At 35.9% G+C, this 23260-nt stretch overlaps 1 long non-coding RNA gene across 1 annotated transcript; it reads right to left on the bottom strand.

The window, feature by feature from the left end:
- Positions 1 to 1420: 1420 nt before the first annotated feature.
- LINC01758 (long intergenic non-protein coding RNA 1758) lies at positions 1421 to 3575 on the bottom strand. The gene is made up of 2 exons (NR_147164.1): positions 3525 to 3575; positions 1421 to 1827 (listed from the first exon to the last, which is right to left on the bottom strand). It is a non-coding gene; the product is annotated as a long intergenic non-protein coding RNA 1758 (long non-coding RNA).
- Positions 3576 to 23260: the final 19685 nt, after the last annotated feature.

The raw sequence follows: 23260 nt of genomic DNA, 5'->3' as shown, positions 1-23260 counted from the left end.
GCCTGGAATGACAATGAGTTTTTTTGTTTTGGTAACTTGCGTTTTATAAAAGCATGTGTGCATTAATGCACATATCTGTGTGTGTTGTTGAATGCTTTACACATATCTCCTTATTTAATCCTTTCAACAGCTATGAGGGAGGGAATATTTTTGTCTGTGTTTCATTTCTTTTCCATGAAACAGAGTCTTAGAAATGTTAGCGAAGTTGTCCTACATCCAGATTTTCTAGATTGCATGACAATTAAGTACCAGTGAAAAGATTCAAATTCAGGCAGGCTGAGTCCAGGCTCTGCACCCTTATCCACTTCACCCACCATTTCTCCATAGAAATAATTCAAACATGGCTCAGGAAGGGAGGATTGCAATTCCTCTACTCATTCAAACATCACTGAAGCCTTCACTAAGGAAGCCTGTGTTACTCTGGGTTCTATGCCAGATTATCAAACTAGTAATAACAATAGTCTGTTTCTCTGTGCATTCTGGTTTTCAGCTTGCTTCTGTACTAATTATACAGTTCACCTTTTTATGAGGTTAAGAACTGAGAATGAAAGCACTGGTCTTTCTTTGAATAGCATAGTACAAAATAAATTGCTCCATTTAGAATAACAATATTGGCCACTACTTCTGTCCCTATGAAAATGACATAACTGCTGTTCAGAGTAGATGATTTTTCATTTAATAAAATACTTCTTCATAGGTCTCCTTGGGAAGGGAAAGTGAGATGCTCCTTATCTCCCTGCACCTACTGTAGTGTAAAAGGAGATCATGAAACTAAAAGGAGATATGAAACTTACGTTCTGCATAAGAAACGAAGAGTGATTAGGAGTTGGGAAGAAAGGAAGGTGAAAACAGGGGAAGAGAAGGACAAGAGAAAGAAGTTCTCAGTGGTATGGGTGGCCAAATAAAAAGAAGTGTTGAATATCTAATCTTATCTTTGCCATATGATGTTGTTACGTATCCCTCACCCAGTCAGGCCAAACGTTTTGCGCTGATAGTGACTTTCAAGAGTGCTGTTATGAGTAAACAAAAGAAAGGAACTAGGTCCTATATTAAAAAAAGTCAGTTTTGATTAGATATACATAGTGACCAGGATCTCATAAACACCTAAGAACTTAAAAGACAAGACAAACACATTGAGTGGGCTTAGGAAATTTTCATACAATTTCTTAAAAGCCTGAAGCTTACATCCAGTGGGAAATCCAAAGCTTGTTCAATGTTTTTGTTGTTGTTGTTGTTCATTTGTTTGCTTTTCATTTTTAAGTTGAGTAGCATAAAGGAATGAAGGGAAGGGAGTAGGACAAAGAGAAAAAAAAGTGGATGAGAGTGAAGGTGTTTGGGAGCAGGGCAACTGAAAAGTGAGGGAGAGGCACAGGTATGAATGATTTGAGATTGTCCAAGGAAATCTGAGAAACATTGCAGGTATCATGAATTAATCTCTTCAAAGTCTTTATTAAGAGAACAGAAATAAGTGTGCAGGTTTAATTTCATTTTGCAAGCAGCAAAACCCTTCTAAGGTTTCTTCTGTTTTGAAGGAGCTGGGAATTTAGAAATCAAATTCTCTAGATTCTCTTGACTCTGTGGAATAGAATACAATTTATGTTCTAACAACAAGGTGCACTGGAGCATGATTTTGAAGGTGGAATGGAGACCAGAAGACATTATTTTTTCCTTTGGCAGTACTAGGCAAATGCCATGGGCTTCAGCAGATGTGAAATTTCTGCAGAGGTTTTGCTGTGATCATCAATAATAGTTTTCTGGAGTTCCTTGTCTTGGTTGGCAGACCCTTATTACCACCTGGTTTTCCACACTATTCCTGTAGTGGTGAACCTAAAAGATAGCAGAAGTTATCCCTGACCTTTGCATCTTTAGTTCTCTCAAAGATTTTGTAAGCAATTAATCCCCTATGTGAAATCTCTCTTTGTTAAAAAATACTTAGAGTGATTTCTGTGTCCTGACTGAGACTTGGATTTGGGACTGATGATGATAAACTTTATCTTGAGCCCTGTATGCCTAGAAAATAACAATAGTTATGAAAAGTTTCACTCTTTCGCCTCAACTGCTCTTGCCCTTGCATGTTCCAAGGTAAGACCTTACTCTATCCTTCCTCATGGCTCCCATAAGACTGTGATGGCTCCCTTGTTTACTGGCCTCTCCATACTTTACCATTGTCATAAATGGTCCTTCTTAGACACATAAAGAAGTTTCCTAACACCTCAAAAGTCATAGTGAGCTAAAATAACATCATAATTAAGTATTTTGAATTCTTAATTCATCATAATTAAGGATCCTCTAGGCTAGAATTTCTACTGTAATCTTCTATAGAAAAAGCTTATTATGCTAAAATTGCTTCTTGGCCATCAGATGGTTAAAATGGTTAACTCCAAGAGTAAGTGTGCAGATCATATTATTTTTTAAACTTTTATTGCTTGCAATTGTGTCCTATGGCAAGTAACTTATCTCTAAAATTTAGATCTTCTATAAAAGAAAAATAATTCATTAAAATTTGGGGTAACATATGACAAATGTAACACTCTTCTTTAAAAGGTATAATAATATATTTGTATATTAATATAAATTTTCTCTATGAACATGCTCATCTAATAAAAATTCAGATTTTTACCATAGAAAAAGTTACCTTTATAATCATAGCCTAAAACCCACACATTTTATCCGTTGCATTCATCATCTTGTCTTTGTTTTATAGATAATTCTCAAAATAAACAACAAAAGTCCATAGGAATTTGAGAGTAGTATAATATTAATGACGTTCTACATTTAAAGTTTAATCCTTTACTTCTTTTCTAAAAGAATTTATTCTATTATATTTCTATATTTTTATTGAATAAATCATTCTCCATATCCAATTCATAACAGCTAATTTTTCCCATCAATAATTTTAACTTCCTTTTGCATGTGCATAAATTATGGCTGATGTTCTAAACAGTTGGTGACAGGAAATGTGAAGCAAAGAATAGTGAGAAATTAAAAATCATAAGCATACTATACTATTAAACATCTCCAGGCTTCCTGGATGGTAAAGAAAATAAACGTATCATCAGTTAGAATAAGTAGGCTTACATTATTGTAACAAATAACTTTGATTCTCAGTCACTTACAATCCACAGTTTTATTTCTCATTCATGCTAAATGTCCATTTTAGGTTAGCAAAAAGCTCTCTTCATCATAGTGTGTCAGGGACCCAGAATGTGGGGTGGCATCATCTCAAATGCAGTAAGTCACCATGCCCAAGTGAAAGAAGGTCTCTTAAAATCTCATTAGGCTATTAAATTCTATGGCTTTGGATTGGCAGATGTCACTCTCACTCACACTCATTGAACAAGTCACAAAACTCCACACAATCCCAAATTGTGCCTGTGCCTGGAAGATAGATGGAATAAATCCAAAAATGTTTGGCACACAGTACCATTAATGAATACTACAGAAACTGAGGGAGGTGATTAATTCTACAAGGTTTTTATGCATGGCATTATTTGGATTACACAATTCTTTTAGGTTATACTCACATGTGGTTTTGTGTTACATCTCACATAAAGCAATTTAGAGAACTCAGCATCTTTTGTTTGGAAGGTGACTAATAGCCACAGGTAGTCTTTAATGGGATTGCTCTTATATCCATTCCATCCTATATTCTCCTCACTGTAAGATCAGTCAGGTATTTACAGCATGCCTGGTATATATAAAGTAATCAGAGAATATAAAGATGAATCAGTCATACATTATACTCAAGCAACTTATATTGTACTAAAAGAGATAAGACATACATAATTATTACAGAAGTTATAAAATAATAAGTGTGAGAGTTTGAAGTAGGAAAATGTCACTTTGGGCTTGGCAGGGAAATGGTAGCAGAAAGCATTATATTTTTGTTGGATGAGTAGCATTTCAATATTTGTAGAAGGAGGAAGTGAGCACTGGAATGAAAGGAAAGATATAAACAAAGCTATGCTGAGAGAACATGGTGATATAGTAGATCAGCAAAGAATATGTGAAGGGAAGAAAAAAAGAATATTGAAAGTGTAGTGAATATATGGCAATAAAACAGATAAACTTGGTTGCAAACATCCAGTAAGAATTTAATCTGCTATTGTATAAATATCATAAAGTTTTGGAACATAGTATAAGGAATCTAGGTAGACCAAAAGATGAAATAATACTTCTGCTTTCTGACACTGAATTGAGGAAATGTGAATTCTTATCATGAATGAATTATGCAACAAGTATTTTCAGAATAAAAATTCAAAATAATGACAGCAAAGGTTAACTCTACACTTTTGACAAATAGAGCTATCCAATGTTAGACACAATTGATTACTAGGTGGGACTGGGACTATAGAGAACATAGTAATAAAATTTCACTTATACATTTATTATTTTAGCACTTAAACTCTATTTATCTAACAGCACTGATTTAGAGGTTAATGAAGGCTGTGGAGAAAGGAGACTTTGAGTTTACTTGGGAATACTTTATTTGAAAAATAATGACAGTCAAGCGTAATAACTGTTACGAAGGGGAAATGCTATAGAAACATATAGCTGGAATACTTAACCTAATTGAGGAGTCAGGGAGGCTCTTCTAGAGAGAAACAAGATTATGTTTACATCCAAGTTTAATGATCGTAGTCTCTATTGTTTATAGTAAGGAAAGGCAGGAGAGGTGTAGGTAGGCAGACTGGAATCCTAGAAAGCAATCTTTAGTTTACTAAGTGTATCAGTGAGGGTTCTTGATTACACACAATAGGAATCAAGTGTAGTTGATTAAAGCATAAAATGAATATATTAGAAAGTTTTCAGGTAGCTCACAAAATCACAGGGAAGGTTAAGAAACAGACGAATAAAATGAGTAGAAGCAAGAGAGGTTTTGTAGCCAAAACCGTAGCCAAAATCATGCTTTAGAACTAATTTGATGACAGCAGCTCCTCCCCATGAACTCAAGTCTCAGTAGCACCCCCTACTAGTACTGGTATTTTGCCAGTAAAATGCAGTTATTGGGCCCTGGAGACCACTGTCCTGGGAGCAGAATACTGCTGCCACCATCGCTAGTGACTCCAGAATGGATTCCTCACTCTTCCTAATTCTCTATGTCACCATTTCCCCATTTAAAGTACAGATGGGTCCAACTTACTGTGTGGACAGACTCTAAGGTGGCTCCTACAATACCTACCTCCTAGGGCCTTTGTGTAATCCCCTCCCCTTGGGTGTGGGCAGAGCCTGAGACTTGCTTGTAAGTAATAGAAAACAGTGATTGGAATGTATGCGATTATGTTACATAAGATTGTAATACTCCTTTTCCAAAGAGACCCTTTTCCTTACTGACTTTGGGGAAACAGGCAGCCATGCTGAAAAGGACCACCTGGCAAGAAACTGAGGGTAGCATCAGATGACAGCCAGCAACAACTGAAGCCCCCAGTCCAGAATCCTTAGGGAATTGAATGCTGCCAATAACCACATAAACATGGAAACAGAACCTACCTCAGCTGAGCCTCAGATGAGATTACAACCCTGGATGACAATTTGAGGTGTTACGAGACCCCAAGACAGAGCATCTACCGGTTAAGTGCTGCTCAGACTGCTGACCCTCAGAAATTATGAAATTAAAAGTGTGTGTTTTTTAAGCCACCATGAGTGTGGCTACTGGTATTTAGCAATAGATAACTAAATCTGTGACAGAACCTAGACCTTTGGCCTGAGCCCTGTCTGTGAGGAATGTTGGAAAAATGAGTATCTGAACTTTGTAGCTTTCAAAGCATAAGAAGTCTCAGAGGATGGAACATACTTATATTTACTTCCTAGAGCTTCTGCAACAATCGACCACAAAGTTGATGACTTAAAACAACAGAAATTTATTCTTTAATAGTTCTGAAGGTCAGAAGTCCAAAATCAAGATGTTAGAAGGGTGATACTCTTTCCAAAAGCTCTAGTAGGTGGTTTTTTGCCTCTTTCTGCTTCCAGTGGCTCCTGGCATTTCTCGGCTTGTTGCTGGCATAATTTCAGTCTCTGCAACTGTCTTCACGTGACCTCCATTTTTTGTCTCTGTGTAACTTTTTCTGTCACTTCTGTGGCTTCTCTCATTGAATTTAGGGCCCACCTCTAATTCAGAATGATATAATCTCAATCCTTACCTTAATTACCTTTATGTTAAGTTTCCATAAACACAAATGTGCTTTTTTTTTTTTTCATCCCCTTCTTAGTGTTAGCAAAGTGCTCCTTGACTGTGAAGACATACACCAGGGGTATTGCCATTGTGATTAGCTTATTCTATCTTTATTTTTTATTTTTTGTTTTTATTTTTTATTTATTTTTATTTTCTTTTTGAGATGGAGTTTTGCTCTTGTTGCCCAGGCTGGAGTGCAATGGCACAATCTCAGCTCACCACAACCTCTGCTTCCTGGGTTCAAATGATTCTCCTGCCTTAGCCTCCTGAGTAGCTAGGATTATAGGCCTGTGACACCGCTCCTGGCTAATTTTTGTATTTGTAGTAGAGACGGAGTTTCACCATTTAGTCAGGCTGGTCTCAAACTCCTGACCTCCAGTGATCCACCCATCTCGGCCTCCCAAACTGTTGAGATTACAGGAGTGAGACACTGTGCCTAGCTCTATCTTAATTTATCTAGCAAATTTTGACATGAAAAGCCACTATCTTCAGTATGGTTTGAAATACTTGTTTATTGTTTAATAAAAAAATATTTTTTGGAAATTTAGGAAAAATTTCACTTTTACTGGAGAAAAATTTTTTAAATCTAAAACCACATCCATTATTTCTGTTCAAAAGTTCCCACCCTTGCTCTCTCCTATGTTGATGTGTGAAGAAAGTGTCCACATTACAATCCACTGAAATAATAAAGGGAGTAAACAATACATTCACATCATTGATATGAAGACCTTGAAAAATGCTCCGAATGGAAAATTTTTCTTTTTGAATATGAAATTGTCTAAATGCTGAGCATATTTCTACTTGTCCTTTATTCAACTTCGAAAGCAAAAAGTTTTACTGGAGCTTTTTGAAGTCCATGATTCTTTCACTTGTGACATTGTGACCAATGAGGTCATGTTTATTGTTTTAAAGGTTCAACCTAGATTCTGGGAGTGAGCCCCAGTAAAGAGCCCTCTGTAAAATTTCTTCTGACTTTCTACATGTTCAGCAGGAGTTCTGGGTAGGAATCATTTATAAAGGAAAATATTTTGATGTAATTAAATACAAGACCTTGTAGCCAACTTTTGTGATTGAAAACAAAATCAGTTTCAAAAATTCTAAATAAAGTTTTGTAAGAATCTGTATACAAATCCAATTGTCATAGATTAATCTTACAAGAAGATGCTGAAGATTGATAAGATCAGTCCCCAAGCTGCCAGCTTCAACCTACATACTCTTCAACCTCTTTTGATCTGACTTTGTTTGCTATGCCCCCTCTTCATCTAGGAGCTAGATATTATCTTCTGCTCATGTATCAAATTCTTGAGTGTGATATTGATTTGACAGTGACTAAATGTGAGTACTCCTCTTCATACAATGGCTGCTTCTTTGCTGTTTAAGCACTAAATTAATAAATATTTTTTAGTATCAGTCAACATCATGCTAAAGGTCAATAGTATTGAGTGGAATCATAATATAGCAAGAGTCCTTAACAAACAGTATTCTGTAGTTCCTATATAATGTTGAGAGCTTTTAGTATATCCAACTATCTGTATAGTAAGTGTTTAAGCCATTCACAAATAAAGAAGGAATATAATCTTGGGTCATAGAAGTCAAAAGATTTCATTAGCAAGCTTCCAACCACATTAGCAAGCTGATGTGATGTGAAATCACACCAGCATTAAATTTGAATATGATATTTGTCACCTATTGATCACCAAGATTGATTTAGTATCAAGTTCTGCTTCAAGGTAGAGACACCAAACCCAAAATGCTGTCTCAATCATTTACCTTAACTGTAGACATAATACTGACCTCCAAATCTATATTTGGACTGGTTGCAAATATTCTTTGAAGTTCAACTTTCTTCTAATAGCAAGAAAAGATCACCAAGAAGATTGTTCAAAGATACATCTAAGCAATCAACCCAATAAAAATTTAATACCATTCAAATGAGCTTCTCAGAGGTATAAATGTCTTATTCATTCATCTATTCATTTATTTTAATGTATTTATTTGTTGACTGTTCTGGGCCAGGCCTTGTGCTAGATGTCTTTTTAAATCCTGTATTAGATGTTTTATTGCCCTTAGTTCTGATAATTCTTCTTAGTAGGTGATATTTTCCTCATTTTATAAATGAAAAAAGTGAGACTCGGCATATGTGGACTGTAGCAAATAAGTTATTTGACTTAAACACACTCTATAGATTTACGTAAAGTCAAGATTTATGTAAAGTAAATAAACATCGTATAATAGGAACATTGTTTTGGCAGCAAGTATACTAACATTGGATTAAGCAACTTGAGGTTTACTTTTCTCATATAATTAGATATATGTAGATAGTCTGTTAGTATTAGTTCAATAGCTCAAAGATATCAAAACCAACATTTCTGAAATCCCCTTGGTCTCCCCACTATCCTCAGTTACAAGCATCATGTTCACATTTCAGGAAGAGGACAGAGGAAGGAAGTGGTGCTAATGATACTAATTCAACCCTTGTGCCTGGGCAAGAGCTTTCCCAGAAGCCACCAAAAAAGATTTGTGTTCCTGTACCAAGATATCTATCACAGGACAGGTCTCCATTGCAAGAAAATCTGACAGAGTGAGTATTTATTTTTTTCTTTTTTTTAGCCTCTGTGATGTAAACAGCAAAAGAAAAAAATGTAGTGAATGGAAGTTGGGCTTCTCAAAAAATTGACCAGAAATCATCATAATTTTAATCTAAAACTATTGCGTATATTTTCATGGTAGAAAAAAAATACACATAGGCAATAATAAAACAACAAGCAGTAGGTCAGCTTGGAAAGGAGTTTGCCAGGTTGTGTGGACACATGATCATTCGTACGTGTGTCTGTGTGTTTATGTGGCAGAGGAGAGTGAAATACAAGGATTAATATTGGGAACCTAGATTTAAAAATAGACATAGAAAAAAGCATCAAGAAAAAAGAGTAAGAGTTAGTTTTTATATGTGACAGCTTATTCTCAATCCAGAAAAATTGCGGAAAACACAGTCAACATAGTTTGATTCCCTCAGTAGCTTCTTATTGCCTAACAACTTTGGTAGATACTCTTAACTTGATATGTCGGGTCTTTCAGTATCTGGCTTCAGACCAATTTTTTTTTTTTTTTTTTTTTTTGCGGGGGTCGTAGTTAGTTTTTTTTTTTTAAATTTAAATTTACCTTCTGGGATACATGTGCAGAACATGCAGGTTTGTTACACAGGTATATATGCGCCATAGTGTTTGCTGCACCTACCAATTCCAGACCCATTTTTAGTTTACCTTCTGCTCTTAATTACCCTATGCTCCAGTCACATAGATCAAACCTACTTGTTGGATGTCCCCCATATTTTTCTTATTTAGTCATGTTATTCTCCATCTTACTCACGTTAATATTTTCTTACTTTTATGCATGATGTCTGCTATTTAAAGTCTTAGTCATCTTCTAAAACTTGTCTTAGGTGACAACTTCTCCATGAAGACTTTTGGATCTCTCCAACTGAATGTGAACATTCAATCTACCTTTCATAACACATTAAAAAATTACTTCTCATATGATGCTTGTCCTGCTTTTTAAAATTTAATTATATACTTGTTAATTTTATTTTAACTTTTTTTTTCTAACCAGACAACATAGTTCAGTTAAGGTTTAGGAAGGATGGGTTGTAGAAGACAATAATTCTTCAGTTTAATTAATTATTAACAGTCATAAGGTTTATGTATTATGGACATAGAGTCTATAGTGTTCATGTTATATGTCGGCCTTGCAGCAAATTCAGCTACTGTCCTTTAAGCCAAGATTGAGGTTGTGTCATTTACTTATTAAATATGTTACTCTACTGCAATGTAGTGTTAACATCTGCACTGTACTCAACAGAAGAGTCAATTACTGTAATACTCTTGATATTAAACCACTAAACATGACCCTTCCTCAATGACAGCAGCTCAAATTGGATCTCATCCTGCTAAACTAGCTGATTCTTTGATCTGTACTGATTGCTTGGCATTACGTATATCAATAGCACTTAAGAGTTTATTATATGCTTCTGAAGCTCATAAAATATTGAGTATAGTTTTATTACATGATTATACTGCTGGGCTACCAAAGCCAGCAGGATGGAGGTGTGGCAGAGTGGAAAATGTTTAATGACATAGCTCAGTGTGTGTCATGGCATCCATATTTCTTCTCAATAGGGGAGCCACTAATGTCATAAACAGAAAATTAAAAATCAGCACTTTTGTAGGGAAAGTAACGTTCCCTCCTGTTGTTGCAGTTTGTGTAGAAGACAGAGGCAACTGGAGGAGAAATTCACATAATGCTGGAAGGCACAGCAGGATGTGTGCAAACCATTTTAGAGGAAAGTAAATACCAAGGCTGGTATTTGAAATATTTACCAAAGAGTTTTCCTCAGATTTTCTTGTACCCTTTGTACTTCTCCCTTTGGAGGAACAATACAGCATTTTAAAAAGCAAAATTCTATAGGATTACCAAAATCCAGTCCTCAGTTATTCAAAAGCCTAAACTCTCAAGAACTCAGATATCACATGACACAAGTGATAACTTTGAAAGATAGGATGAGAAAACAGACTACCCACCTTATCTCTCTCCCCAGATTAGATGGAGTTTCTCTGGGAGAAAATGAGAGAAGGATGAGAGAGAATGTAAACAGCTTAGTATGTGGCATTTCCTCAAGAAGTAGATTTGTGCTCTGCCCCTGCCACACCACATGAAGATTTCTTGAGGAAGGATATAGGAAATTATTCAGGATACACTTGGTGTGACCACACATTAAGAATGCTCATAGAGCTAAAGTGGTGCCTTCCAAAGTATCAGTGTGAAAGGTACCCAGACCCTGATGTGTTTCAAATTCATAAAACATATCCTTTATGCATGGAGAGCAGTACAGCCATGGCATAGGGATTAGTGCCCTAAATTTGGAATAAACAGCAGCCTGGGTGAATCTATGACCATAGGTCAGATGGGAACATGTATGTGTCAATAGGTGTTATAATAGACAAACAATAATATAGACTTTATTGTGTTATCTGACTCCTAACATGGGAAGACCACAGTGTTAAATAAACCCACCCTTCCTCTGGAATTTGTACAGCCAATTTCTGAAATTATATTTAAAATAAATTAAGGCCACTAAAATAAAATATAACACTTCAGTTTTTATACACTCCAATTTGTGGCTTTCCCAATACATGCAACATACCATTGATAAGGATCTAGTGCTCAACCTAGCTTTGAAGAAAGATAACATACTTTCCAGATTTAGAAATGTTAGCCAAATACAAGATATCAACATTCACTGTAAGTGAGTATAAACAAGAGCATCCCATGATTCAGTACATAGGCCATGTAGGCAGAAGAATGAGGAACAGAAGAGGATGAGAAAAGAGACTTAGACTTAAAGACACAGAATCTCATTTCTGTCAGTCTTTAAAAAGGATAAATTTCAAATATTTATTGCAACCTAAATATAATTTAGCATAAGTAGTATATAATTACATATAGTAACATAAGTTGACATCTATTTTCTCATGGTGAGTTTGGTCATTTTTAACAAGGCATTTTGTCTTCATATGTCCCGAGATTAAGAACACCTTCAGGCCTTGTTACAGATAGATATTTGACCAAAGTAGCTCCTCTCTGACTTTTATGTCAGGAGAACCCTGGATGGATAAAATAAGTTAGCAATATACCTTACCAAACGTATTTTATCAAGGCTTCTTTATTTTCTGGGTTTACTGACTACTGTATATCCATGCTGGAGTCCTTGGACTTGTTTGACATAGATGTTATAATACCCCAACCTTCCAACTGTATATGGATGGATATAATTTCCTCTAAATTTTTATCAAGTACATTTTTGAAAACAAGCAGTTAATTGATCATCAAAAAATGACATCAATATTTCATCTCCCTATCAATCCTACTCTAGCCTCACTGTGTAAAAAATATATTTTGATACTTAACCTAGATTCCCATGTGGAAGCCTAATGTTTTCTCAAAAGTATTCAGTGTGCAGAGGAGAGTGGGAGAAAAAAAATCAATGGTTACTTAATGCACTTTCCTATTTAGAATATAAAATGTATAATAGCGGAAGGGAAATAAAATTTCAAAGTGAAAGCAGAAGAATAGACTGAACTACCCTACACATTGAAATGCCTCACATAAAAAAGGATCTGAGAATAAACAGACTAACATCCTACATACTACTTGATACACATATTTAAACCAAAAAATACATTGACAGAGGCCTGGGGGTGCTTGGTGGGGTTAGCCGAGGTATGCATTGCCAGCTAAAAACAAGTTTTCTTTTCATTCTGAATCCTAAGATCAAATTTTGAGATAACCAATTTGAACTAGTTTTCTATTAAATATTTAAGCTATCATCAGAAAAATCTATAAAAAATATTTGAAACCCACTAAATAAAAGAGAACAGCACCTTAATATTTGTGTTGTTGTCCCTAGTGTAAGTAAACAATTCCAGAAAGGGCTGGAAACCTGTAGGAGATGTATTTTTCTATGTAAGTTTGGTGTCAGAGTTTGTTGACAGTGTCTATATTCTGGGGCAAGTATGTGGGTCTCTTATGTAATGAGTAGGATCAGAGCTTCAGAAGGTCAAGGAAGGGAAAGGGAGTTTGTGACCAAAATTTCGTGCTTTGTCTGTGCCTAGAAATCTTTTAGTCCTAGGTTTCCTACAGAATCACCTCTTTATATTTCTTCTTCCCTTTTATTTTCGTTGTCATGACTTTTGGCTTCTGATCAGGGTTTCTGATCTGCTCTGACAATAGCAAGTAATAGTTTTTCCCCTCTTAGTATTGCTACCTTGTCCCTAAGACCTCAAGTCCACGTTACTTGAGATCAGGCAGCTGTCTGCCCATTGTTATTTCACTGAAGTAGTTAGGTCTTTGAGTGTTTAGTGTGAGGTTGGAGAGGATGTGGAAGGATAGGGAAGAGAAGAAGAAATCAATATTGTCAATTAACTGTGTGAGATGATAGAGGGAAATTGAGGAAGGATACACTAATATTTAAGGATATTCAGTAAGGAATAAATAACCAACAGAGCTGCAGTTGTAACACAGCCCAGGCCAGTGCTGAGAGCTACAACCTAAGTACCAGGAATCTGGAGTTCACTTGTTTATCTTTTAGGAGTGTGACCTTAGTGTGATCGTAGGCAGGTCACCTCAACTCCCTGGGTCTCAGTTTCCTCATTAGAAAAATTAGGAGTTTGAACCAGATGAATTCCAAAGTTGCTGTCGGATCTTTTTGGAATAGTATGCTTTTACTTTTGCTTTGAATTCTGTTAGGCAAAGTTTCTATTTCAAAAATAATATAGGTCACCTTGAGTCATGTATTTTTTTCTCTTTGTACCAGCTGAGTTGGCCTTCTTTACATCAGAAATCCTGCAAGATAGAATCCTAGAGAGCGCTGAAAGGAATTTTAATCAATTTCACCCGATGCTGCTACACAAACAGTAAAGTTTGTGGTGCCCAATGAATACTTGATAGGCTATCAATTAGCTGTCCTAGAAAATGTTCACAGATCATTTAGGAGAAACTATTTTTCTGGAAAAAAAATCAAGGTTTTAGGTATGACTTCCAAATAGTGATTTGTATTTAATGTTCTCCCATTGCTACCAGTCCCTTTAGTGAACGCTAAGTATGCATCATTTCCACCTGATTAAATGTCCCTAATTTCTCTAGTCATTCCTCATATGACACGGTTTCTAGATCACTCAGGCCTATGCCAAAATTTCTGTGAAAATGACCTATTATTGCAGCTGATTTCTCATTAATTGGTGGGACTATGGTTCAATGTTTCTGCTAAAATTCAGAAAACTCCACAGTCAACAGAGAGTCTAGAAGATTTATTCACATTATAAATCCAGGATATACTGTCATCAGTTACAGCACAGGAGGTCATAATCTGCTAAAGAAACTGTGACAAGGTTTTTGGGAGCATAAAGCATACAATTCTGGAATTTCTTAAACAAAAAAAAAAAGTAGGCTCATTATAGTTGAATGCATGGTACAATAATACTCTGGGAGAAATGGCATCCTTTACAGTTAAAATAAAGGTAATTGGGGGAAATTAAGGTTTTTATAATTTATACTTTAAAATACTATCACATATGCAATGCTGATGAGGTGCTTGCCTTAAATCTGTAAGGAATAAATAAATACAAACATGAGAGTATTTACACAACCATTCTTGACATAAAGGGAAGAAAGCTTATAATTTCTGAAACATCAAAGAGCTCAATGAGTATTTCCAACCAAAATGCAAATTCTAAAATGATTAATGATGAAAAATCTTTACATCCTACTTTATGTAACCTTTAAATCTGTAGGGTCATCCCTGACAAGAAGCTAAATCTCTTTGAGATCAAGCTTATTTTACAGTAACTTTTTTCGTTTTCTGAATGATGCCTCATTTCACACACTAATTTTTTTAAAAAAATCTTACATTGCAGAGGCAGAGCCTTTTACTTTAGGCATTTCTTGAACTTTATCACTTTTTAAAATTAATGAGTTATTTCTGATTTCCTATTACCTAAGGAATATACCACTTGTTCTATCCTTAAGGTGCTGCACACTTTTAGTCCAGTCTATATCTTCCCCTTCTACTTCCCAAAGTGACCAAAGATCTCATCTCATTACAGCCTCAGTTCATAGTCCCAAATTTCCTCATCTAAATCGTTTAAATTAAGTGGCAATGAGTAACCCATTAAATGAAAGTTGTGGACGCAATTCCTCTACATCTTTGAACTTTTGAAACTAAAGAAACATGTTATGTGCCCCAAACACTCCCAACAAACAATCATCATGGGGCAGGCATAGGATAACAATTACAGGCATTCCTGCTCAAAATAGAACCAAAAATAAACACAAATATTAAGATAAAAATAAAGTAAGAAGTCTTGTAATCCTGCTGGACAATCCAGCCAGACTTCCTTGATTAGGTTTCTAGGCCTAGGAACAATCCTCCAAGGCTCTTGATTTTGCCTCCTGGGACTTGGTTATACCTTTGAGTTTTGGTTTCTGTCCTCTGAGTCATCTCTGTTTATCCACAGTGGGGCTGAGTATTTTTATCAACCTTCCTATAAAATTCTGAGCATTCAAAAGCCTCTTTTTACTTCACACTCTTTCTGTTTCTTGTCCTCCAAGTGGGAAATGTTTCTGCTGACATAATATTCTCAAGAATTTTGTGGACCTTGTGTGGTTTCATAGGGCATTTATTCTGTTAGATAAAGGCAACATCCACAGATTTTTGAAATAATGGCTTTTCTGTTCTGGCCTTCTGTTGAGGTGGTTTAGGAATAATACTCTCGAGCTTCCTCGAGGCTTTCTGGTTTGATTGAGATGCTCTGTAGGGCAAGCCCTTAATATCTTGTGACTCTGACCTTTTGATCTTTAGAAGTTTCAGCAAAAAAGGCTTTTTGAAGTTTCAGCAAAAGGGTCAGTCTTTTCTCTAGAATATGCTTCCAGACAGTGAATTTCTTAGTTTAACAGTTCTTCCCTCAATCTCTCATCTTTCTTCTCTCATTTTACTATAAGCCACAAATCAGGCAGAATCTTCAATCACTTGCTTGTAGATCTTCTTAGCTCTGTACCCAAGTTCATCACATATAAATTCAGCTTTATACATAACTGTAGGACACAGTTTCCACCACTATAGAACAAGGATCCAACCTGCTTGCTCCCATATTCAATAATATATTCTTCTCCTCGTGAACCCTCATCAGTAGCATTTTCAACATTCATATTTCTACTAGCAGTGTGTTCAAGGCAATTGAGGCTTTCTCTGGCATGCTTCTCAACACTGTTCTCAAATGTCCAGCTTCTTCTCACTGCTTAGTTCCAAAGCCCTTCCATATTTTCAGGTATTTGTTACAGTAGCACCTGGCTTTTGGGTACCAAAATCTGTATTAGTTTTCTATTGCAATGTAATAAATTGCCTTAATTTAACAGCTTAAGACAACACCCATTTGTCAATTCACAGTTATTTAGGTCATAAGTATGGACATGGTACAACTGGATTCTTCGCTCAAAGTAGCCAAAAGCTGACATCAAGATGTCTTCTGGGGCTGCAGTTCTCATTTGAGGTTTGGAGTCCCCTTCCAAACTCACTGTATGTTGGAAGAAGTCAGTTTCTAGTGATAGTAGGTCTGAGATCCTTCTCTCCTTGGTGGCTATCAGCTGGGGGCCTCAACTCCTCATGGTTACCCCTCTCTATTGGCAATTTACAAGATGATGCTTGCTTTTGTACTGCCAGCCAGAATGCATCTTTCTTACAACTTCTTCTGCTACCAGTTGGACAGAACTCTAAAGGGTTCATGTGATCATGTCAAGCCCACCTGGATGATCTCCCTTTCTTAAAGTCAACTGTAACACAACCTAATCACAGGAGTAAAATCTATTGTCTTCATGATCCCTAGGATTATACAGGGCATGCACTTCAGAGGCAAGGAAAATCTTGGGGAGACATCTTAGAATTCTACCTACCGTTATAATAATATGTTAAATTATCTGGAAGGATATCATCTAGCTCAATGTCTGCCTCTAAAGGCCTATATAAATCAGGTTTAATTCTTTTTTTTCCCATTCAGATATAATAACAAGGAGGCAATAATAGTTGCAAAGTTCCCATAATTTTTGTATTCTGAGCTTTACTATTTTAAGTAATGCTTGATGAATCCCAGTGAATTCTATATTGAGATAAAACTCAATACACTAAATATAACAGAAACTTAAGTTTTATATAAATCATTCATGAAGAAAAAGTCTTTTAAATACAAATAATTCAGTTTCATCCGAAGATCAAATATCTTTTATTGCAAAAATTGGGCTTATAGAAATAATTATGGAAAGATAATAAAATGTTTGTTTTACCTTATACACATTTGCATACTAATAAATGTAACTATTGGGTACAAAAGGGGAAAAATAGTTTTGCGTATATAAGTGCAACCGAGAAACACTTAGAGGCCTTAGTGCTGTTGTCCTTAATCTTGGCTGCCAAAAAGCACTTAGCATATGTAAAAAAATACAGTAAAACAAAACACAAACAAAGAAATTCCCGGGTCCCATTCTGAAAGATTCTAATTCAATTGCAGGTCATGGCCATAATCTTGGAAATGGCAATAGCCAAGGTCCTTCGGAAGCTCACAATCTAAAGTAAAAAAAAAAGATACTTGAAAAATCAGCTGGCACCAAGGATCCTTGCACCAAGGATTTAATGTTAACTTTAAACATTGAGGTTTCTCTGCATCTATTGAGATAATCATGTGGTTTTTGTCATTGGTTCTGTTTATGTGATGGATTACATTTATTGATTTGCATATGTTGAACCAGCCTTGCATCCCAGGGATGAAGCCAGCTTGATCGTGGTGGATAAGCTTTTTGATGTGCTGCCAGATTTGGTTTGCCATTATTTTAAAGAGGATTTTCGCATAGATGTTCATTAGGGATATTGGCCTGAAATTTTCTTTTTTTGTTGTGTTTCTGCCAGGTTTTGGTATCAGGATGATGCTGGCCTCATAAAATGAGTTAGGGAGGAGTCCCTCTTTTTCCATTGTTTGCAATCATTTCAGGAGGAATGGTATCAGCTCCTCTTTGTACCTCTGGTAGAATTCGGCTGTGAATCCATCTGGTCCTGGGCTTTTTCTGGTTGATAGGCTATTGATTACTGCTTCAATTTCAGAACCTGTTCTATCCTTGGTCTATTCAAAGATTCAACTTCTTCTTGATTTAATATTGGGAGGGCGTATGTGTCCAAGAATTTGTCCATTTCTTCTAGTTCTAGTCTATTTGCATAAAGGTGTTTATAGTATTCTCTGATGGTAGTTTGTATATCTGTGGGATCAGTGGTGATATTCCCTTTATCATTTTTTATTGTGTTTATTTGATGCTTCTCTCTTTTCCTCTTTATTAGTCTGGCTAGCAGTCTATCTATTTTGTTATTCTTTTCAAAAAACAAGCTCCTGGATTCATTGATATTTTGAAGGGTTTTTCGTGTCTCTATCTCTTTCAGTTCTGCTCTGATCTTGGTTATTTCTTGTCTTCTGCTAGCTTTTGAATTTGTTTGCTCTTGCGTCTCTAGTTCTTTTAATTGTGATGTTAGAGTGTCAATTTTAGATCTTCCCACTTTCTCCTGTGAGTCTTCAGTGCTATCAATTTCCCTCTAAACATTGCTTTAGCTGTGTCTCAGAGATTCTGGTATGTTGTGTCTTTGTTCTAATTGGTTTCAAGGAACTTATTTATCTCTGCCTTAATTTCATTATTTACCCAGTGGTCATTCAGGAGCAGGTTGTTCAGTTTCCACGTAGTTGTGTGGTTTGAGTGAGTTTCTTAATCCGGAGTTCTAATTTGATTGCACTGTGGTCTGAGACAGTGATTGTTATGATTTCCATTTTTTTGCATTTGCTGAGGAGTGTTTTACTACCAATTATGTGGTCAATTTTAGAATAAGTGTGATGTGGTGCTGAGAAGAATGTATATTATGTTGCTTTGGGGTGGAGAGTTCTGTAGATGTCTATTGGGTCCGCCTGGTCCAAAGCTGAGTTCAAGTCCTGAATATCCTTGTTAATTTTCTGTCTCATTGATCTGTCTAATATTGACAGTGGGGTGTTAAAGTCTCCCACTATTATTATGTGGGAGTCTAAGTCTCTTTCTAGGTCTCTAAGAACTAGCTTTATGAATCTGGGTGCTCCTGTATTGGGTGCATATATATTTAGGATAGTTAGCTCTTCTTGTGGCATTGATCACTTTACCATTATGTAATGGCCTTCTTTGTCTCTTTTGATCTTTGTTGGTTTAAAGTCTGTTTTATCAGAGACTAGGATTGCAAATCCTGCTTTTTTTGCTTTCCATTTGCTTAATAAATATTCTTCCATCCCTTTATTTTTAGTGTGTCTTTGCACATGAGATGGGCCTCCTAAATACAGTGCACCGATGGGTCTTGACTCTATCAAATTTGCCAGCATGTGGCTTTTAATTGGGGCATTTAGTCCATTTACATTTAAGTTTAATATTGTTATGTGTGAAAATGATTCTGTCATTACGATGATAGCTGTTTATTTTGCCCATTAGTTGATGCAGTTTCTGCATAGTGTTGATGACCTTTACAATTCAATAAAATTCAACACCGCTTCATGCTAAAAACTCTCAACAAACTAGGTATTGATGGAACAAATGTCAAAATAATAAGAGCTATTCATGACAAACACACAGTCAATATCATACTGAATGGGCAGAGCTGGAAGCATTCCCTTTGAAAACTGGCACAAGACAGGGATGCCCTCTCTCACCATTCCTATTCAACATAGTGTTGGAAGTTCTGGCCAGGGCAATCAGGCAAGAGAAAGAAATAAAGGGCATTCAAATAGGAAGAGAGGAAGTCAAATTGTCTCTATTTGTAGATGACATGATTGTATATTTAGAAAACCCCATCGTCTCAGCCCAAAATCTCCTTAAGCTGATAAGCAAGTTCAGCAAAATCTCAGGATACATAATCAATGTGCAAAAATCACAAACATTCCTATACACCAATAATAGAAAAAACAGAGAGCCAAATCATGAGTGAACTCCCATTCACAATTGCTACAAAGAGAATAAAATACCTAGGAATCCAACTTACAAGGGATGTGAAGGATCTTTTCAAAGAGAACTACAAACCACTGCTCAAGGAAATAAGAAAGGTCACAAACAAATGGAAAAATATTCCATGCTCATGGATAGGAGGAATTAATATCATGAAAATGGCCACACTGCCCAAAGAAATTTATAGATTCAATGCTGTCCCCATCAAGCTACCATTGACTTTCTTCACAGAATAAGAAAAAACTACTTTAAATTTCATATGGAACCAAAAAAGAGCCCGTATAGCCAAGACAATCCTAAGCAAAAAGAACAAACCTGGAGGCATCACTCTACCTGACTTCAACCTATATTACAAGGCTACAGTAACCAAAACAGCAAGGTACTGGTACCAAAACAGATATATAGACCCATGGAACAGAACAGAGGCCTCAGAAATAACACCACACATCTACAACCATCTAATCTTTAACAAACCTGACAAAAACAGCAATAGGGAAATGATTCCCTATTTAATAAATGGTGTTGGAAAAACTGGCTAGCCATATGCAGAAAACTGAAACTGGACTCCTTCCTTACACCTTATACAAAAATTTACTCAAGATGGATTAAAGACTTAAACATAAGAACTAAAATCATAAAAACCCTAGAAGAAAACCTAGGCAATACCATTCAGGACATAGGCATGGGCAAAGTCTTCATGACTAAAACACCAAAAGCAATGGCAACAAAAGCCATAATTGACAAATGGGATCAAATTAAAGAGCTTCTGCACAGCAAAAGAAACGATCATCAGGTTAAACAGGCAACCTACAGAATGGGAGAAAATTTTTGCAATCTATCTATCTGACAAAGGGCTAATATCCAGAACCTACAAGGAACTTCAACAAATTTACAACAAAAAACAAACAACCCCATCAAAAAGTGGGTGAAGGATATGAACAGACACTTCTCCAAAGAAGACTCTAATGTGTCCAACAAACATATGAAAAAAAATCTCATCATCACTGCTCATTAGAGAAATGCAAATCAAAACCACAATGAGATACTATCTCATGCCAGTTAGAATGGTGATCATTAAAAAGTCAGGAAACAACAGATGCTGGAGAGCATGTGGAGAAATAGGAACATTTTTACACTGTTGGTGGAGGTGTAAATTAGTTCAACCATTGTGGAAGACAGTGTGGTGATTCCTCAAGGATCTAAAACCAGAAATACCATATGACCCAGCAATCCTATTACTGGGTATATACTCAAAGGATTATAAATCATTCTACCATAAAGACACATGCACATGTATGTTTATTGCAACACTATTCACAATAGCAAAGACTTGGAACCAACCCAAATTCCTATCAATGATAGACTGGATTAAGAAAATGTGGCACATATACACCATGAAATACTATGCAGCCATAAAAAATGATGAGTTCATGTTCTTTGCAGGGACATGGATGAAGCTGGAAACTATTATTCTCAGCAAACTAAAACAGGAAAGAGGAACAGAAAACCAAACACCGCATGTTCTTACTCATAAGAGGGAGTTGAACAATGAGAACACATGGACACAAGAAGGGGAACATCACACGCTGGGGCCTGTTGGGGGTGGGGGCTAGGGGAGGGATAGCATTAGGAGAAATCCCTAACGTAGATGACGGGTTGATTGGTGCGGCAAACCACCATGGCACATGTACACCTATGTAACAAACCTGCATGTTCTGCACATGTATCCCAGAACTTAAAGTATAAAAAAAATTAAGGTTTAATATAGGTAAAGTACAATGTCACAAGTGATGAATAATCAGAAAGGAGCATACCCATGTAATACACACTTATGTCACAAAATAGAATAATAAAAAAAATCAGAGCCCCCCTCCCCCAACCATACCCCTTTCAAAGCATTAAACACTGCCTTTTCAAGGGCAACCATTTCCTTGAATTTTAACACCAAAAATAGTTTTACCTATTTTGAATTTCATACTGATGAAGTAATAGAGTTTTAAAAATCTAAATTGTTTCACTCAATATTCTCTTTGCCAGATTAATTCATGCCATTGTATGTAGCAAAGGTTTGTTTCTTGTTATTCTCTATATTTTCTCAACTGTTTAAATACATTACAATTATTTATCTGTTGATGCACATTTGGGTTATTTCCCAGTTTGGAGCAATTGTAAATGATGCTTCTGTAAATGTTTCCAAATTATAACTGTCTTTTGGTGCACATGTGTACACATTTCTAGAATGGTGATTGCTGAGTCATAAAGCATGTATATGTTCATTTATACTTACTTTCATGTAGCTTTCCGAGGGTGATTATACTAAGTTTTACTTCTGCAAGCAGTATGTGATAGCTCTTATTGCTCTATGTGTTTATCAACACTATGGTCAATCTTCTACAATTTTTTAGCTATTATGGTGGCTATGTGATGATGGCTCACTGCAGTTTTATTTTTCATTTCATTCAATTTCCCTAGTGATGACAATTTGGGTGTCCTCTCAGCTGAAGTGCCTGTTCAAGCCTTTTGCTCATTTTTCCACTGGGGTCTGACAATTTCCTATTGATTTACAGAAATTCTTTGTATAATCTGGCCTCACATCCTACTGGATACAACATATTTTGCAAACGTCATGTGTTAGTCTATAGGTTGTTTTGCTCACGTTTTGTTTTGCTCACGTTTAAAGATTTCTTTTGTTTAAGAGAGGCTTTAATTTTAATGTAGTTAAAAATGTTCTTCTAGATAGTTATTACCTCTTGTAATGGTCTATATGCTTTACTGTTTTGCCTTTCACTTTTAGTTTTATTAAATAACTGGAATTTTCTGTGTACAGTACAAAGTAAAAATGAAGCCATTGTTTTTCTGTGCAGATAATCCAATTAAACCAGTAGCACTGGTTGAAAAGATGAGGTAAACATTTCTAGAGATAATTTGAAGTTTTGGATAATGATATATTACACTAGTGGGGTCATGAATTTGCTCCTGTCAGATACCTAGGGGAAGAGCATGCTACCTTCATAAAAACAGGGATTGAGAAAATTTTAATCTTGAAAGGGTTGGTATATTTCAGGTTGACTCTTATTCCTAGGGTGTAAACTTTTGACATCCCAGTTTGGGACCCTTCACTCTTGATGGTCTTTGATCTCCAATTTTTATTCCCCTAGCCTCTGAACCTACCAAAAGTTCTTGTTTCACTTTCTTAGCCTCTCGACTTCCACTTTCAAATCAGCAAATGCTTTAAGGGAATGAGTTGTCCCAAGTATCAGGTTCACATTTCTGTGTTTCTTTCATTTTTCGGATCTTGGTCTGATGAACCTTATTTCCTTGATAGCTTACAAACAATGCTTACACACAGACCTTACTTTATTATTTTGTCTGCAATTTTCCAGTCATTCTAAGCAGGAGAGTTCTTTAAAAATAAACTAGTTTACATTGTCTGAAACAAAACTTACAAAATGTAATTTAAGACCGCTAATGACTACTTAACTTCCTAAAAGAGAT

Source organism: Homo sapiens, chromosome 1 (assembly GCF_000001405.40).
Source record: "Homo sapiens chromosome 1, GRCh38.p14 Primary Assembly".
Taxonomy (NCBI): Eukaryota; Metazoa; Chordata; class Mammalia; order Primates; family Hominidae; genus Homo; species Homo sapiens.
Note: the sequence above shows the minus strand (reverse complement) of the source record. Positions and strands in the feature narration are given on the sequence as shown.